This window comes from Homo sapiens, chromosome 4 (assembly GCF_000001405.40).
Source record: "Homo sapiens chromosome 4, GRCh38.p14 Primary Assembly".
NCBI classification, from domain to species: domain Eukaryota; kingdom Metazoa; phylum Chordata; class Mammalia; order Primates; family Hominidae; genus Homo; species Homo sapiens.
In genome coordinates, this window is record NC_000004.12 from 42520361 (window position 1) to 42539961 (window position 19601).

Consider the following 19601-nt stretch of genomic DNA (forward strand, 5'->3'; position numbering starts at 1 on the left):
TTTTTTTAATTCTTAAAAGAGTAACAGAAGCAAAGATTAAAAATCAATAGCACTAATGCTTTAAGATATGTGACTTTAGTTGGGCAGATTAAAAGAGATTGTGATTATGGCCTCAGATTATTTTATTTTACTACATAAATGCCCCAAAGACATAATCATATATAAATATGTTAGGAAATGGAGAGCGAGAAGGTGGAGGGAGTGGGGAGGGAAGAAGTGGGGAAGATAGGCAAGAGAGACATTGAAATAAGTCAACTGATAACAAGTCTCCTGGTGTGTGTATACCTATAACATTTAGGGTGGGAGTATCATGCTGGAAGACACCATACATGCTATCCCATGTCTTTTCATAAGTAAGCAGAATAAAAAGTTCAAATATAAGGAGGAGATATCTAGATATATCTACATATCTATCTCTATATATACAGGTATGATATATGTGAGCTTATATTTATATTTAGGTATCTTCCCCTTACAAAATACAAAGGCTATATGAGAAACAATCACCTTCCATAAAAAGTGATAATCTGTTGAGGAGACAGGACACCAATATCTCGAGTTGCATATGGTAACCTTGTGCAATAAAGAAAACCATCTGCAGCTAGAACATGGCATCCCCACATTACATAAAGGGAGGGGACGTGAGGAGCAGAGGGGGGAAATAGTCCAGGGAGGTACTGGTGGCACCAGCCACCTTTCAAGACAGAGGCACGACGAAGTACACAGTTCGATAGAGAGGAAAGAAGAACAAAGTATCAGCCTTTACTTACCTGGAGAAAAGATCAAGTAAACCGCAGCGGACAGGCTAGTTTGATTCTATGCAATACAAACATGAGTGCTATTGAAGAGTTATCTAATGGCAAGCTAGAGGTTAGAATGAAGTCACTTGAATGATTTAGAGCATGAATACTGGAGGAAGAGTGAGGATTCTGGCTCCCCCTATTAGAAGCTGTGTACTCTCAGCCAAATTACTTACCCTCTCTGTTACCTTGGATTCTTCATCTATAAGACAGGAATAATTAGCACCTCAAAGGGATGTTGTGAGGACTAGATTAATAGATGAAAGTGCTATGAACAGCACCTGGCACACGGCAAGAGCTACACAAAAATGTTTTCTTAATTAAGGAAGCAAGATTCTTGCTATTTATACAGCATCGATCATAATGTATCCATCACTTTCTGGCTTAATAGCCTTGGTTTCTTTATCTGTAAAATGAGGACATTTACAGCTGTGACAGAAATAATACAGGTATATGTTTGTCACAATGGTTTCTTTATCTGTAAAATGAGAACATTTACAGCTGCGACAGAAATAATACAGGTATATGTTTGTCACAATGACTGGACAAGTGTAAGCACTGGATTACTCTCATATATATTATCAGCTATGCAAGCTGTGTGATTACAGTACTATTTTATATTGCATTGCATATTATAGTTATTAACTCAAAGCACACATGTCATGTATGTAATGTGTGCGTGTGTGTAGGGGCATGTTCCATATCCTCAGAGATCCAGAAACTGAAATACATTGGCAAGGAGATTGCCAGACTGGCCAAACCTTGATCCAAAATTGTGAAAAGAGTGAAGATCTATACAAAGTAATGTCTAACCCCAAAGGCTTCTCAGCAATATTTTAATGCATATTAATACTTGTTAATGCTTAGATGATGAGAGGGTATTCAATAGTGAATGGTATGTCAAGATATTTTGATTTTTATTCCATTGGTTCCTTGAATAAAGATCAAAACTATCTGGAAACCAAACCCTCTGTATGATCAACAGAATCATCCACGTACCTTTTCAATCAACTCATAACTCTCTTCGAGTTTGAGTAGCCTGTTCTGCACAGATGTAGATGCTCGCTGATAGACTGCTCGCCACTCCTGAAAGTCGCTCTCTGAAATCTCAGCCACAGCAAAACATAAAGTTCTTAACCCTGAAAAAGATAGCATACATCACCCCAACACACCAAAGATTTTCTTCAGAAGTCTGAGGTTTCTGTTTTTATTTCACAAAGTCCCATTTTGAAAAAAGTGATTCCATACAAACAATATGATGAAGTCCAATTAAATTATGACAAAAACTTAGTATAAAATGTAGATTAATGTTCCCCTGGTCTTTAAAATTGGTACCCTGCTTCTAATTCCCAACCCTTTTAATCCATCTTCCATGCATAGTGTGGCGTTTCTAAAATCTGAATCTTATCAAGCAGTTCTTTGCTTCGAATCTTCCAATTTTTCCCCAGGACAAAATTTAAGCCCCAAAGCACGGCTTATACATGTTTCATCAGGTGCCTTCACTCTCATTCCCTGCCATTCACTTCCCACATAGGGGGGTCTTTGCACATGCTGGTAACTTTTTCTCCATTCTGCTTTTCCCAACGACTGCCCACTGTCTGCCTTGCAAGCAGTTTAAGACTCAGCTCTGAAAATCAGCTCTTTGATGCACCCTCCTCTCACCTAGATACCAAAGGCAGTAACACTCCTACAGCGTGAGTGACAATGTTTTACAGTTTTTCTTGTGTGTCTCCTCTATTAAAGCACTTGGAAAGCAGGGACCCAGAGTTCTTCAGTACCAAGCATAGTGGCTGACTTATTATAGAGGCCTCACAGATGTTTACAAAGGAAGAGAGACCCTGGTGGGGTCTACTGGGAAAGCCACCTTCCTCTTACTAGGATATATGACTGCATTTATTACTATTCTTTGTCATCATAAATCTGTAGTTTAAAAGTCTAAGTATAGTTGAGGGATAGTGGCAAAAAAGAACTGCCAGCAGATATACCCCGGGAAAACAATCAAAGCTGATATGTAAAGTGACCCACCCTGTGTCTGGTGCCTGCCAATTTCGTAACTCACATCTCTCTCAGCCAGAAAAGAGTAGATGCATTGGAAGAAAGGAGAGGCCAAAACACTTGTCAGCTACCCAAGGAAGCAGTTAGATATCTAGGTTCACAAGAAGACAACGCCCTCACTCCAGGTCATTTAACTCTTAGAATGACTAGGACCAGATGCTAGGCTTAGTGATCTCAAGACAAAATGTGTTTAAGGGAACACATCAGAAGTAAGAAGCAAGGAACATACAAAGTTCCCAGAGAACTCTACCTTCCAAGAAAGGGTGGTGTATTGCCAGATCACTGAGAGTGGAACTTAAATCCCTGAGGCCATCTTAGGACATGTTTTTCTCTCTTGGAAACTTGGCTGGAAAACTTACTGGAGGGTAGTCATGGGGAGAAGTGTCATCCAGCCCAGGGACAGAAAGAATAGGGTAGAGGTGGGGGCCAAACCATTAAAATCTATGAGTTGAGTATCTTTAACATCACATCTAGAGAGGAGAAAGATGCCCTCAGCTCTCCTCCAAAACAAAAAGAACCTGTGTTGTATGCTGGGTAGGTTGCACCTGCCAAGGACTGAGGCTGGGCTTTATGGAATCTGAATCCTATGAATATATATGTTTCCATGCTTTTACATTTTGAAGAACTGCACAGAGGTTTTTCAAAAGCCATCTTTTTTTTTGTTTTGGCTTTTGTTTTTGCCTAGTGTTTTAAAAAACATTCCTATCTTTTCTCTGCCTGAATTAACGGGAAAAAGTATTTGATTAGGTCAGTTTGGTGCCACTGGCAACAGTTCCAGCTGAAACAGATAGGAGTGAAAACTGAGACTGGAGATTTAGATTCAGCTATAACTACCATTGTTAAGTACGAGATAAGACTACAAATTCTTGTAGTAACTGACTCTCATGTTTAACAACCCTCGCTGCCTTTCATCTAACCTAGATCCTCTCTCTAGACTATGTACTGCTTTGCCTTGCACATAATATATTTCAGGAGGACAGAGAGACAGAGCAAAGCTTGTTTATCCTATTTTGGATTCTCAGGCCTCACACAGAGCCTGGCGTGTGGTAGGGGCTCTCTAAAAAAGTCTTGAGTTGTAATAAATTGAATAACAATTTTAATAGTTACGTAAGTTTTTAATAGAAAGTCCTGAGTTGAAACTAAATTTAATAGCTATTTTAACAGTTTAGGTTTATTTCTTCTTTCTTATTCAGATTAGAATATCTGTTTTTTTTTTTTGAGTCTTGCTTCTTTTCCTAATGAATTGCTCGAGATACAAAGTGAAGTATCTAAATGGTAAATATGATCCACTCTAAAAGTAAAACATTTATAGGCCCTACCATCTAAAACGTGGGGACAAAGTTGCTCAAAATTTTAATAAATATAGTTTTAGGAAAGTAAAATAAAAACACAGGCTGGGAACAGCATATAGTAAAATCTAAATTGCCAACAGCTGATATCTTACTTTAGGAATCTCTAAGTCTAATAATAATAAGGATCCTGCAAGGTATCAGAAGTATATGATTTCTTTGTATTTTAATCATGCTTTATTGCCAAATTACACTTACCTTCTGTAGCAAACTGCTCTAAATGTTTTAGGGTAATTTCTTTGTATTTTGACGTCTCTGCCAGTCGATCATAAATTACAGTGTCCTGGAAAACAAACAGAGGGTAAAATGATTTAATTAAGCATTCTGGGTTTAATAAAGTTGATGTTGGTAACAATAGCAGTAGGAAATCAGTGTAACAACCACCAATCTCTTTTGGCATTCGTTTTAAAGAACAAGATATTTTTGTCTAATAATACTATTTTGCTAGTGACATTAATAAGTCTCTAGTCTTGCATCTTCATCTTTCCTCTTTCTGAATAAAACTGTAGTTATTCCCATGTTCATATCTCATATTCTACCTCACTTACCTTCCACATGCTGCAAGATCTACCCTAACCCAGAAGGTTTTCCAGAACACCTTCATAGGTATTCATAGGTGCTGCAAGGAAGAACGGTCCAGAACTCAAGTAAGTTTGGCAAACACTGGACTGAGCAAAGCAACAGAGCTTGTCTTGCTGGAATAATCCTCGGGGACTTTAAAATGCCAGTGTGCACAGTGGATCTCGAAGGGGCTACATGCTATGTGCCCCAAACTCGTTGAATCACAGAACTTTTTAGGGTTTAGAGCATGTTTATGGGACCAGTGCTCACAGAAGAACAAACTTTAATACAGGACTAAATCCACTGAGAGGGCCAGTGGGTATTGTGGGAGAACCTCGAACAACTCTCGAAATGCCTTAAATAGCTGAATATTTCTGATTGTGTCACTTTAGCTTTAAGACTCAGTTTACTTAATCTGTAAAATTTTGTTACCAGATTATGTTTAAAGTCCTTTTCAGCTTTAACTTCATGCATCACTTATGCTTCTCTAGTTCTTGCTCTTTTATAAACTGCCTACTATTCATTTAGTTATTATGCAGCTTTGGTTTAGTGCTTTAAGAATTTTAGTGTTCAACCTTCACGGTTTTATTAGACCAGGAAAAAATAAATCACTTATCTGCAATTACTTTCTCAGTGGTATTACCCATTTTGGGGTCTCCAGTCTCAGGGCTGATATTTGGAAGCAGACTAATGGAGTATGATTTAGAACCCTTGAGAGAAACACAACTTAGTGACCTCAGAACAGATGGAGTATTCCAAGCCGCAATTCTGAATTTCTTTTCATTTTTCAGTGATGGAATGGGAAGTGGGGGGCAAAGCGAAAGGAAATGATAGTTTCCCCTCATGGCTCCTTCCTGAGAATGAGAAGAATCATTTGTAAATTCTTCTTTTAAGAAGAATTAAATTTGAAAATAATATTTTCAATGATATTAATACATTCCATTCTAAAACTAAGAAAATATTTGAAAACATTAAAATCATGAAAACAAAAGTGATAAGTAATATAGCTAAAAGGATTAAATTCGGTACTGTATCCAAACATTCTAGCGGAAGACACTGACGTTTAGAATGAGAAAAATTAATTTTCTACCTTCTTTATAGTGTTGAGAAAAAGCAGAAGAAAGATGTGGCCTTCTGCATTACATGTATAGTATGTTTTTAAAATGAAAATGGGTCGGCTAGCCATGCCTACACATGAAAAATGAATAAACATTGTGAAGGTTAATACTGAGTGTCAACTTGATTGGATTGAAGGATACAAAGTATTGATCCTGGGTGTGTCTGTGAGGGTGTTACCAAAGGAGATTAACATTTGAGTCAGTGGGCTGGGGAAGGCAGACCCACCCTTAATCTGGGTGGGCACAATCTAGTCAGCTGCCTGCGAATATAAAGCAGGTAGAAAAATGTGAAATGGCAAGACTGGCCTAGCCTCTCCCGTGCTGGATGCTTCCTGTCCTTGAACATCGGACTCCAAGTTCTTCAGTTTTGGAACTCAGACTGGCTCTCCTTGCTCCTCAGCCTGCAGGTCCCATGGCCTATTGTGGGACCTTGTGATTGTGTGAGTTAATGCTTAAGAAACTCCCCTTTATATATATGTATTTATTCTATTAATTCTGTCCCTCTAGAGAACCCTGACTAATACAGATTTTGGTACCAAGAGTGGCTCTAGAGGAACAGAATATTAAGATGGAGTTCTTTCATTGGTTTTGGGGTTTCTGGAGGTGGCTGCTTAATATGATTAGACCCCAAAATGCTAAGGACTCTACCTGTAGTATGGAGAACACTGATAGTCCTTGGCATAAACTGGAGAGTTATGTAAAATAAATGCATTTGACATTCCTGATTCTTCTTTCATGACAGACAATGAGTTTAGTGACTCTATACATAATACCTTTGGCCATATGTGGAGAACCAAGGAACATAATGAAGCTGGTTGGTTGCTCCTAAGTTCAGTGGACAAAGTAATGAAAGAAAATGATGAACTCAGGGATTCTATCTCCTGGCTTCAGAAGCAGATACTGAGTCTCAAATCTGCTAAGACTGCCCTGAGTGAGAGTCTTATCTCCTGCAGGGAAAGAGCTGAAATTGTGGAAAAACAGACACAAGCTGTTATCATGCGAATGGCTGACCCGCAAGGAAAGGTGCATGCGTAGCCTCAACAGGTGTCTACTGTTAAAGGGAGGACATTGATTGGAAAAGAATGGGACCCCGCAACTTGGAATGGGGACGTGTGGGAGGACCCTGATGAAGCTGGGGACACTGAGTTTGTAAACTCTGATGAACCTTTTTTGCCAGAAGTAACAGCTTCCCCATCCCCAGTAGGGGCAACTTCCCCTCTCTGAACCATGTTGCCATCAGCCTTTCCACTTTTGTCTGAGGAGATAAAGCCTGTGCTGCCTGAGGTAACAACGATGGCCTCCCCTGAAGCAGTTGCCAGGCAAGATGATGTTGATTCTCTTCTGGACCCACCCCCAACACCCCTGTTTGCTTCTAGACCTATAACTAGACTAAAGTCCCAGCGAGTCCCTAGACGTGAGGATGAGAGTGTGACTCATGAGGAGATGCACTACACTCAAAAGGAATTGCCTGAGTTTTCAAATTTATATAAGCAGAAAACTTCTAGGTCGAATGGATAAAAGACTAATTTTGAGTTACAAAAACAGAGAATCACAGTCCCTCAATCAATTTCCAAACTTGAGCCAGTTTATAGACCCAGAACCCCTTGAATGAAGGGGAGGCTGGGTACCCTAGAGGAAGGACTCCACTACATAACCGACAATTTATGCTGTTAATCCTTCTCCCATCCTTCCCCAGAGAGACCTCTGGCCTTTTACCAGGGTAACTTTGCACTGGGGAAAGGGAAATGATCAGACATTTTGGGGACTACTGGACACTGGCTCTGAGCTGGTGATGATTCCAGGGGACCCAAAATGTCATTGTGGTCCTCCAGTTAAAATAGGGGTTTATGGTGGTCAGGTAATTAATGGAGTTTTAGCTCAGGTCTGACTTGCAGTGGGTCCAGTGGGTCTCCGGGCTCATCCTGTGGTCATTTCCCTGATGCCAGAATGCATAATTGGCATAGACATACTTAGCAACTGGCAGGATCCCCACATTGGCTCCCTGACTGGTAGGGTGAGGGCTATTACGGTGGGAAAGGCCAAATGGAAGCCATGAGAGCTGCCTCTCCCTAGAAAAATAGTAAATCAAAAACAATATCACATCCCTGGAGGGATTACAGAGATTAGTGCCACCATCAAGGACTTGAAAGACGCAGGGGTGGTGATTCCCACCACATCCCCATTCAACTCTCCCATCTGGCCTGTGCAGAAGACACATGGATCTTGGGGAATGACAGTGGATTATCAGAAGTTTAACCAAGTGGTGACTCCAATTGTAGCTGCTGTACCAGATGTGGTTTCATTGCTTGAGCATATTAACACATCTCCTGGTATCTGGTATGCAACCACCGACTTGGCAAATTCCTTTTTCTCCACTCCTGCCTATAAGGCCCACCAAGCAATTTGCCTTCAACATACCTTTACTGTCCTACCCCAGGGGCATATCAACTCTCCTGCTTTGTGTCATGATCTTATTCAGTGAGACCTTGATTGCTTTTCACTTCCACAAGATATCACACTGGTCCATCACACTGATGACATTATGCTGATTGGATCCAGTGAGCAAGAAGTAGCAAACACACTGGACTTATTGGTGAGATATTTGTGTGCCAGAGGATGGGAAATAAACCTGACTAAAATTAAGGGACCTTCTACCCCAGTAAAATTTCTAGGGGTCCAGTGGTGTGGGGGCTGTTGAGATATTCCTTCTAAGGTGAAGGATAAGTTGTTGCATTTGGCCCCTCCTACAATGAGAGGCACAATGCCTAGTGGGCTTATGTGGATTTTGGAGGCATCACATTCCTTATCTAGGTGTGTTACTCTGGCCCATTTATCAAGTGACCCTAAAGGCCACTGGACCCCAGTTTTGAGTGGGGTCCAGAACGGACACAGGTCCAGGCTGCTGTACAAGCTGCTCTGCCACTTGGTCCATATGACCTAGCAGATTCAATGGTATTTGAGGTGTCAGTGGCAGACGGGGATGCTGTTTGGAGCCTTTGGCAGGCCCCCATAGGTGAATCACAGTGGAGGCATCTAGGATTTTGGAGCAAGGCCCTGCCATAATCTGCAGGTAACTACTCTCCTTTTGAGAGACAGCTCTTGGCTTGTTACTGGGCTTTGGTGGAAACTGAACATTTGACCATGGGTCATCAAGTCACGATGCGACCTGAACTGCGTATCATGAACTGGGTACTTTCTGACCCATCTAGCCATCAAGTGGGTCATGCACCAGCAGCACTGCATCATCAAATTGAAGTGGTATATACGTGATCAGGCTTGAGCAGGTCCTGAAGGCACAAGTAAGTTATGTGAGGAAGTGCCTCAAATGCCCATGGTCTCCACTCCTACCACTGTGCCTTCTCTTCCCCAGCCTGCACCGATGGCCTCATGGGGAGTTCCCTATGATCCAGTTGACAGAGGAAGAGAAGACTAGGGCCTGGTTCACAGATGGTTCTGCACGATATGCAGGCACTACCCGAAAGTAGACAGCTGAAGCACGACAGCCCCTTTCTAGGACATCCCTGAGGGACAGTGGTGAGGTGAAATCTTCCCGGTGGGCAGCACTTCAAGCAGTGCAGCTGGTTGTGCACTTTGCATGGAAAGAGAAATGGCCAGATGTGTGATTATATACTGATTCATGGGCTGTAGCCAATGGTTTGGCTGGATGGTCAGGGACTTGGAAGAAGCATGACTGGAAAATTGGTGACAAAGAAATCTGGGGAAGAAGTATGTGGATGGACCTCTGAGTGGTCAAAAACCGTGAAGATATTTGTATCCCATGTGAGTGCTCACCAACGGGTAATCTCAGCAGAGGAGGAGTTTAATAATCAAGTGGATAGGATGAACTGTTCTGTGGACACCACTCAGCCTCTTTCCCCAGCCACCCCTGTCATTACCCAATGGGCCCATGAACAAAGTGGCCATGGTGGCAAGGATGGAGGTTACGCATGGGCTCAGCAACATGGACTTCTACTCACCAAGGATGACCTGGCTATGGCCACTGCTGAGTGCCCAATTTGCCAGCCGCAGAGACCAGCACTGAGCCCTTGATATGGCACCATTCCTTGGGGTGATCAGCCAGCCACCTGGTGGCAGATTTTTGCATCATGAAAAGGGCAGAGGTTTATCCTCACTGGAACAGACACTTACTCTGGATATGGGTTTGCCTATCCTGCACGCAGTGCTTCTGCCAAGACTACCATCTGTGGACTCAAGATCTTCCACACAGTACTGCCTCTGACCAAGGCACTTACTAAAGAAGTGTGGCAGTGGGCTCATGCATCCACTGTCACAGTATTCCACACAGCACTGCCTCTGGCCAAGGCACTCACTTTATGGCTAAAGACGTGTGGCAGTGGGCTCACTGGTCTTACCATGGAACTCACTGGTCTTACCATGTTCCCATCATCCTGAAGCAGCTAGATTGATAGAAGGGTGGAATGGCCTTTTGAGTTACAATTACAGTGCCAACTAGGTGACAACACTTTGCAGGGCCGGAGCAAAGTTCTCCAGAAGGCCGTGTATGCTCTGAATCAGCATCCAATATATGGTACTGTTTCTCCCATAGCCAGGATTCAGGGGTCCAGGAATCAAGGGGTGGAAGTGGAAGTGGCACCACTCACCATCACTCCTAGTGATCCACTAGCAACATTTTTGCTTCCTGTTCCTGCGACATTATGTTCTGCTGGCCTAGAGGTCTTAGTTCCAGAGGGAGGAACACTGTTATCAGGAGACACAACAATGATTCAATTAAACTGGAAGTTAAGATTGCCACCTGGACACTTTGGGCTCCTCCTACCTTTAAGTCAACAGGCTAAGGGAGTTACAGTGTTGGCTGGGGTGACTGACCCAGACTACCAAGATGAAATCAGTCTACTGCTCCATAACAGAGGTAGGGAAGAGTATGTACGGAATACAGCGAATCCATTAGGGCGACTCTTAGTATTACCATGCCCTGTGATTAAGGTCAATGGGAAACTACAACAGCCCAATCCAGGCAGGACTACAAATGGTCCAGACCCTTCAGGAATGAAGGTTTGGGTCACTCCACCAGGAAAAAAACCACAACCTGCTGAGGTGCTTGCTGAAGGCAAAGGGAAAACAGAATGGGTAGCAGAAGAGGGCAGTCAACAATACCAGTTACGACTACATGACCAGCTGCAGAAACAAAGACTGTAACTGTCATGAGTATTTCCTCACCAATTCCCCAGCTAACATCATATTGAAAAGGGAAAAGCTGAAAGCTTTCCTCCAAGAACTGGAACAAGATGAGGAAGCCCTCTTTCTTCACAGCTATTCAAAATAGTACTGGAAGTCAAGGCCAGAGCAATCAACAAGAGAAAAAAATAAAAGGAATACAAATTGGAAAAGAGGAAGTCAAATTGTTCCTCTTTGCTGATGACATATCTTATATCTGCAAAAAACTGAAGACTCTAACAAAAAACTTAAATTTTAATAAATGAATTCAGTCAAGTTGCAGGATACAAAATCAATGTACAAAAATCAGTAGCACTTCTATATACCAACAATATCTAGATGAGAAAGAAAAAAGCCAATCCCATTTACAACAGTCATAAAAAACATAAAATACCAGGGCCAGGTGCGGTGGCTCACACCTGTAATCCTAGCAGTTTGGGAGGCTGAGGTAGGCATTCAAGACCTGCCTGAGCAACAAGGTGAAACCCCACCTCTACAAAAAACACAAAAAAGTTAGCCAGGTGTGGTGGTGCGTGCTTGCAGTCCCAGTTACTCGGGAGTATGAGGTGGAAGGATCATGTGAGCACAGGAAGTCAAGGCTGCAGTGAGCCATGATCATACCACTGCACTCCAGCCTGGGCAGCAGAGTGAGACCCTGCCTCAAAAAAATACACACACACACAGACACAGACACACAGACACACACACACATAAAATACACGGGAATAAATTTAACCAAGGAGGTGAAAGATCTCTATAAGAAAAACAAAACGCCTGTAATCCCAGCACATTGGGAGCACACTGGGAGGCCGAGGTGGGCTGATCACCTGAGGTCAGGAGTTCAAGACCAGCCTGGCCAACATGGTGAGACCCTGTCTCTACATAAAATACAAAAAATTAACTGGGCATGATGGCGGGTGACTGTAATCCCAGCTACTCAGGAGGCTGAGGCAGGAGAATCGCTTGAACCCAGAAGGTGGAGGTTGTAGTGAGCTGAGATCGTGCCACTGTACTCCAGTCTGGGTGACAAACTCCATCTCAAAAAAAAAATAAATAAATTGAAGGTGACACAAAAAAAATAGAAAACATCCCATGCCCCACTGGATTGGAATAATATAACTAAAATGACCATATTGCCCAAAGCAATCTATAGATTCAATGCAATCCCTATCAAAATACCAATGTTGAAAATGGCAGATAGGAGGCAGGACTAACTTGCAGCTCCTACTCAGATGGATGGAGCAGCGTGGAGACTCATACTGTGAATTGTCAGGCCTCTGAGCCCAAGCTAAGCCATCATATCCCCTGTGACTTGCATGTATACATCCAGATGGCCTGAAGCAACTGAAGATGCACAAAAGTGAAAATAGCCTTAACGGATGACATTCCACTATTGTGATTTGTTCCTGCCCCACCCTAACTGATACGATATATTCTCCCTCACCCTTAAGAAGGTACTTTGTAATATTCCCCCCAGCCCTTAAGAATGTACTTTGTACGCCTATCCCAAACCTATGAGAACTAATGATAATCCCACCACCCTTTGCTGACTCCTTTTTTGGACTCAGCCCACCTGCACCCAGGTGAAATAAACAGCCTTGTTGCTCACACAAAGCCTGTTTGGTGAACTCTCTTCACACGGACGTGCGTGACATGAACTTTTGCTCCAAGAACTACCACATGAACATATCAGGAAAGCCAAGAGAATCCACACTTTTTGAAGGAGGAAGACTGCTGCTGCAGGCTCCATGGGACAGCTGAGGGACTGTGAGTCAGCTTGCTTTCTCAGCTGGGAAGCTTGTAGCTGGGGGCAAGTTCTCAGCCCTGCTCACTGGCTGCTTGGGAACAAACTTGGTGCTGTTGGGGGTGCACAGTGGGAGTGAGACCAGCCTTTTGGGCTGCAGGCTACATGGGTGCTGGGTAAGTCCTGTGGCTGCCAGCTTTTCCCCACTTCCCTGGTGATGTGTGTGATGCAGCAGAGGCAGCCATAATCCCCCTGGGAACATAACTCCATTGGCCTGGGAACCGCACCCCCATCCCCACAGCAGCCTCATCAAGTCCCACCCAAGGAGAGTCTCAGCTCAGACATGCCTGACTCTGCCCCTAGCTGATAGTCTTTGTCTACCTGCCCTGGTAGCCCAAGACAAAGGACATCTCTTGGGAGCTCTATGGCTTCACACCTACTGCCTGACCCTAGGGCAAGCTTGCATCCTCCCTATACTATAGCAGCTGATGAGCTCTTGAAAGTGCCACCTCCTGGCTGGAGGCCAACCAAAACAAAACCAGCACACTTAACAAAAATACAACCAAGGACCCTCTCCAAGTCTACTTCACTACCCTGCTACCTCCACCAAAGCAGGTGCTGGTATCCACAGCTGAGAGACCTGAAGATGGATCATATCACAGGGCTTTGTGCAGACACTCCCCAGGACCAGCCCAGAGTCTGGTATCTCTGTGGGGTGGCTAGATCAAGAACGGAAATAACAATCACTGCCGTTTGGCTCTCAGTAAGCCCCATCCCTAGAGGAAGGGGGAGAACACCAAATCAAGGGAGTACTCCATGGGATGAAAGAATCTAAACAGTTGCCCTTGAGCCCCAGATCTTCCCTCTGACATAGTCTACCCAAATGAGAAGGAACCAGAAAAACAATTCTGGTAATATGACAAAACAAGGTTCTTTAATACCCCAAAAGATCATGCTAAGTCACCACAATGGATCCAATTCAAGAAGAAATCTCTGAATTGCCAGAAACAGAATTCAGAAGGTCAATTATTAAGCTAATCAATGAGGCACCAGAGAAAGGTGAAGTCTAACTTAAATAAATCCAAAAAATGATGCAGGATATGACTGGAAAAATCTCCAGTGAAACAGATAGCATAAATAAAAAACAATCACAACCTCTGGAAATGAAGGCCACACTTAGAGAAATGGAAAGTCTCAACAACAGATTTGAACAAGTAGAAAAAAGAACTTCAGAGCTCAAAGACAGGGCTTTTAAATTACCCCAATCTGACAAAGATAAAGAAAAAAGAATTTAAAAAAAATGAACAAAGCCTCCAACAAGTTTGGGATTGTGTTAAACGACCAAACCTAAGAATAATTGGTGTTCCTAAGGAAGAGAAATCTAAAAGTTTGGAAAACATATTTGAAGGAATCATCGAGGAAAATTTCCCTGGCCTTGCTAGAGATCTAGACATCCAAATACAAGAAACTCAAAGAACACCTGAGAAATACATCACAAAAAGATCATCACCTCGGCACATAGTCGGCAGGTTATCTAAAGTCAAGATGAAGAAAAAAATCTTAAGAGCTATGAGGCAAAAACATCAGGTAACCTATAAATGAAAACCTATCAGATTAACAGCAGATTTCTCAGCAGAAACCCTGCAAGTTAGAAGGAATTGAGGACCTACCTTTAGCCTCAAATAAAACAATTATCGGCCAAGAATTTTGTATCCAGCGAAACTAAGCTTCATAAATGAAGGAAAGATACAGTCTTTTTCGGAAAAACAAATGCTCAGAGAATTTGCCACTACCAAGCCAGCAGTATAAGAACTCTAAAAGGAGTCTAAATCTGGAAACAAATCCTTGAAATACACCAAAATAGAACTTCCTTAAAGCATAAATCTCACAGGACCTGTAAAATAATAACACAATGAAAAAAAAAGGTATTCAGGCAACAAATAGTATGATGAATAGAATAGAACCTTACGTGTCAATACTAACATTGAATGTAAATGGATAAGAATTCACCAACCAAGTATCTGCTGTCTTTGAGAGACTTACCTGACATATTAGGGCTCATAAAACTTAAGGTAAAAGGGTGGAAAAAGATATTCTATGCAAATGGACACCAAAAGCAAGCAGGAGTAGCTATTCTTATACTAGACAAAACAAACATAAAGCAACAGCAGTAAAAGACAAAGAGGGACATTATATAATGACAAAAGGACTAATCCAACAGGAAATATCACAATCCTAAATATATATGCACTTAACACTGGAGCTCCCAAATTTATAAAACAATTAGTACTAGACTTATGAAAGGGGATAGACAGCAGCACAATAATAGTGGGGGACTTCAAATACTCCAGTGACAGCACTAGATAGGTCATCAAGACAGAAAGTCAACAAAGAAACAATGGACGTAAATTGTACTCTCGAACAAATGGACTTAACAGATATTTACAGAACATTGTACCCAACAAATGCTGAATATACATTCTATTCATCAGCACATGGAACATTCTCCAAGATAGACCACATGATAGACCACAAAACAAGTCTCAACAAATTTAAGAAATTAGAAATTATAGCAAGTACTATCTTAGACCACAGTGGAATCAAATTGGAAATCAACTCCAAAAGGAAACTTCAAAACCATGCAAATACATGAAAATTAAATAACCTGCTCCTGAATGATCACTGGGTCAACAATGAAATCAAGATGGAAATTAAAAAATGACTTGAACTGAATAATAGTGACACAAACTATCAAAACCTCTGGGACACAGCACAAGGGGTGCTAAGGGGAAAGTTCATAGCATTAAATGTCTACATCAAAAAGTCTGAAAGAGCACAAACAGACAATCTAAGGTCACACCTCAAGGAACTAGGGGAACAAGAGCAAACCAACCCCAAACCCAGCAGAATAAATTACCAAGATCAGAGCAGAACTAAATGAAATTGAAACAACAACTATAAAATATAAATTAAACAAAAAGCTGGTTCTTTGAAAAGATAAATAACATCGATAGACCATTAGTGAGATTAACCAAGAAAATAAGAGAGAAGATCCAAATAAGCTCAGTTAGAAACAAAATAGGAGATACTATAATGTAACCAATACGACCAAAGTACAAAAGATCATTCAAGGCTACTGTGAACACCTCTATGTGCATAAACTAGAAAACCCAGAGGAGATGGACAAATTCCTGGAAATATACAACCCTCCTAGATTAAACCAGGAAGATACAGAATCTCTGAACAGATCAGCAGCAAGACTGAAATGGTAATTAAAAAGTTACCAACAAAAAAGGTCCAGGACCAGACTAATTCACAGCTGAATTCTATCACACATTCAAAGAAGAACTGGTACCAATCCTATTGACACTATTCCAAAAGACAGAGAAAGAGGGAATCCTTTCAGAGTCATTCTATGAAGCCACTATCCCCCAATACCAAAACCAGGAAAGGATAAAACAAAAAAAACTACAGACCGATATCCCTGATGAACATACACACAAAAGTCCTCAACAAAACTTGCTAACTGAATCCAGCAGCATATCAAAAAGATAATCCACCAGGATCAAGTGGGTTTCATACCAGGGATGCAGAGATGGTTTAACATCTGCAAGTCAATAAATGTGACACACCACATAAACAGAATTAAAAACAAAAACCAGGCCCGGCATGGTGGCTCATGCCTGTAATCCCAGCCAGCACTTTGGGAGGCCAAGGCGGGCAGATGACCTGAGGTCTGGAGTTCGAGACCAGCCTGGCCAACATGGAGAAACCCTGTCTCTACTAAAAAAATACAAAATTAGCCAGGCATGGTGGTGCACGCCTGTAATCCCAGCTACTTGGGAGGCTGAGGCAAGAGAATTGCTTGAACCCAGGAGGTGGAGGTTGCGGTGAGCCGAGATCGTGCCATTGCACTCCAGCCTGGGCAAAAAGAGCGAAACTCCGTCTCAAAAAAAAAAAAAACAAAAAAACCAAAAAAACCCCCACGTGATCATCTCAATAGATGCAGAAAAGGCATTTGACAAAACCCAGCATCCCTTTATGATTAAAACCCTCAGCAATATTGACACAGAAGAGGCATACCTTAAGGTAATAAAAGCCATCTATGACAAACCCATAGTCAACATTATACTGAATGGGAAAAAGTTGAAAGCATTCCCCCGAGAACTGGAACAAGACAAAGACGCCCACTTTCACCACTTTTATTCAACATAATACGGAAGTTCTAGCCAGAGCAATCAGATAAGAGAAAGAAATAAAGGGAATCCAAACTGATAAACAGGAAGTCAAACTGTCGCTGTTTGCTGATGACATGATCATATACCTAAAAACCCTAAAAACTCCTCCAAAAAGCTCCTAGAACTGGTAAATGAATTCAGCAAAGTTTCAGGATACAAAATTAATGCACACAAACCAGTAGCTCTGCTATACACCAACAGTGACCAAGCTGAGAATCAAGAACTCAACCCCTTTTACAATAGCTGCAAAAAAATAAAAATACTTAGGAATATACCTGACCAAGGAGGTGAAAGACCTCTACAAGGAAAACTACAAAACACTGCTGAAAGAAATCACAGACGACACAAACAAAGGCAAACACATCCCATGCTCATGGATGGGTACAATCAATGTTGTAAAAATGACATCCTGCTAAAAGCAATCTACAAATTCAATGCAATTTCCATCAAAATACCACCACCATTCTTCACAATTAGAAAAAATAATCCTAAATTTTGTATGGAACCACAAAAGAGCCTGCAAAGCCAAAGCAAGACTAAGCAAAAACAACAAATCTGGAGGCATCACATAACCTGACCTCAAACTATATATAATACTATATAAGGCCATAGTCACCAAAACGGCATGGTAGTGGTATAAAAATAGGCATATAGACCAATGGAAGAGAATGAAGAACCCAGTAATAAAGTCAAATACTTATGGCCAACTGATCTTTAGCAAAGCAAACAAAAACATAAAGTGGGGAAAGGGCACCCTATTCAACAAATGGTGCTGGGATAGTTGGCAAGTCACATGTAGAAGAATAAAACTGGATCCTCATCTGTCATCTTAGACAAAAATCAACTCAAGATGGATCAAAGACTTAAATCTAAGACCTGAAACCATAAAAACTCTAGAAGATAATATCAGAAAAACCCTTCTGGACACTGGCTTAGGCAAAGACTTCATGACCAAGATCCCAAAAGCAAATGCAACAAAGACAAAGATAAATAGATGGGACTTAAACTAAAAAGCACAGCAAAAAATATAATCAGGACAGTAAACAGACAACCCACACAGAGTAGGAGAAAATCTTCACAAAGTATGCATCTGATGAGGGACTAATATCCAGAATCTACAACAAACTCAAATCAGCAAGAGGAAAATAAACAATCCCATCAAAAAGTGGGCTAAGGACATGAACAGACAATCCTCAAAAGAAGATATACAAATGGTGAACAAACACATGAAAAAATGCTCAACATCACTAATTACCAGGGAAATGCAAATCATAACCACAATGTGATACCACCTTACTCCTGCAAGAATGGCCATAATCAAAAACTCAAAAAATAATAGATGTTGGTAGGGATGTGGTGAAAAGGGAACACTTTTACACTGCTGGTGGGAATGTAAACTAGTACAACCACTATGGAAAACAGTGTGGAGATTCCTTAAAGAACTAAAAGTAGAACTACCATTTGATCCAGCAATCCCACTCCTGGGTATCTACCCAGAGGAAAATAAGTCATTATACAAAAAAGATACTTGCACACATGTTTATAGCAGCACAATTTGCAATTGCAAAAATATGGAGCCAGCCCAGACGCCCATAAATCAACAAGTAGATAAAGAAAATGTGGTATCTGTATATACCACGGAATACTACTCAGCCATTAAAAGAGTGAAATAATGGCACTCGCAACAACCTGGATGGAATTGGAGATGATTATTCTAAGTGAAGTAACTCAGAAATGGGAAACCAAACATCATATGTTCTCACTCATAAGTGACAGCTAAGCTATGAGGATGCAAAGACACGAGAATGATACAACATACTTTGGGACCTGGGGGGAGAGGAAGGGTGGGAGGGGAGTGAGGGATAAAAGACTACATATTGGGTATCGCGTACACTGCTTGGGTGATGGCTGCATGGAAATCTCTGAAATCACCACTGAAGAATTTATTCATGTACTAAAAAATAAAATAAAATACCCCCCCCCCAACAAAAACAAAATACCAATGCCATTCTTCACAGTTAGAAAAAATAATCCTAAAATTCATATGGAATCAAAACAGAGCCCAAATAGCTAAAATAATCCTGAGCAAAAAGGACAAAGCTGGGGGCATCACATTACCTACATTTAAAATTTATTACAAGGCTATAGTAACCAAACAACATGGTATTGGTACAAAAATAGACACATAAATCTAGGGAACCCAGAAATAAAGTCACATATTTATAACCAACTGATCTTTGACAAAGCTGATAAGAACATACACTGGAGAAAGGTCATGCTTCTTCTTCAATAAATGGTGCTGGGAAATCTAAAAACCCATCCTAAATAAGGATGAAACTGAACCCTTATCTCTTGCCATATACAAAGAAAACAAAAAATCAAAATGGATTAAAAACAAACATAAGACTCAAACTTTTAAAAATACTAGAAGAAAACCTAGGGAAAACTATCCTGGGCATTGGTTTAGGCAAAAAATTTATGACCAAGATCTTGAAAACACAGGCAACAAAAACAAAAATTCACAAATGGGATTATATTAA

The 19601-nt window shown here is 41.2% G+C and overlaps 1 protein-coding gene across 12 annotated transcripts in view; it reads right to left on the reverse strand.

Annotated features, from left to right (window-relative positions):
- Positions 1-19601, reverse strand: part of ATP8A1 (ATPase phospholipid transporting 8A1) — a 248733-nt gene that overhangs the window by 111988 nt on the left and 117144 nt on the right. For all 12 annotated transcript variants that reach the window (NM_001400027.1, NM_001400026.1, XM_047449508.1 and 9 more), the window contains 2 exons: positions 4403-4487; positions 1800-1939 (listed from right to left, as the gene is read on the reverse strand). In NM_001400027.1, coding sequence (NP_001386956.1) covers positions 1800-1939; positions 4403-4487 — 225 coding nt within the window. The remainder of the gene's footprint in view (positions 1-1799; positions 1940-4402; positions 4488-19601) is intronic.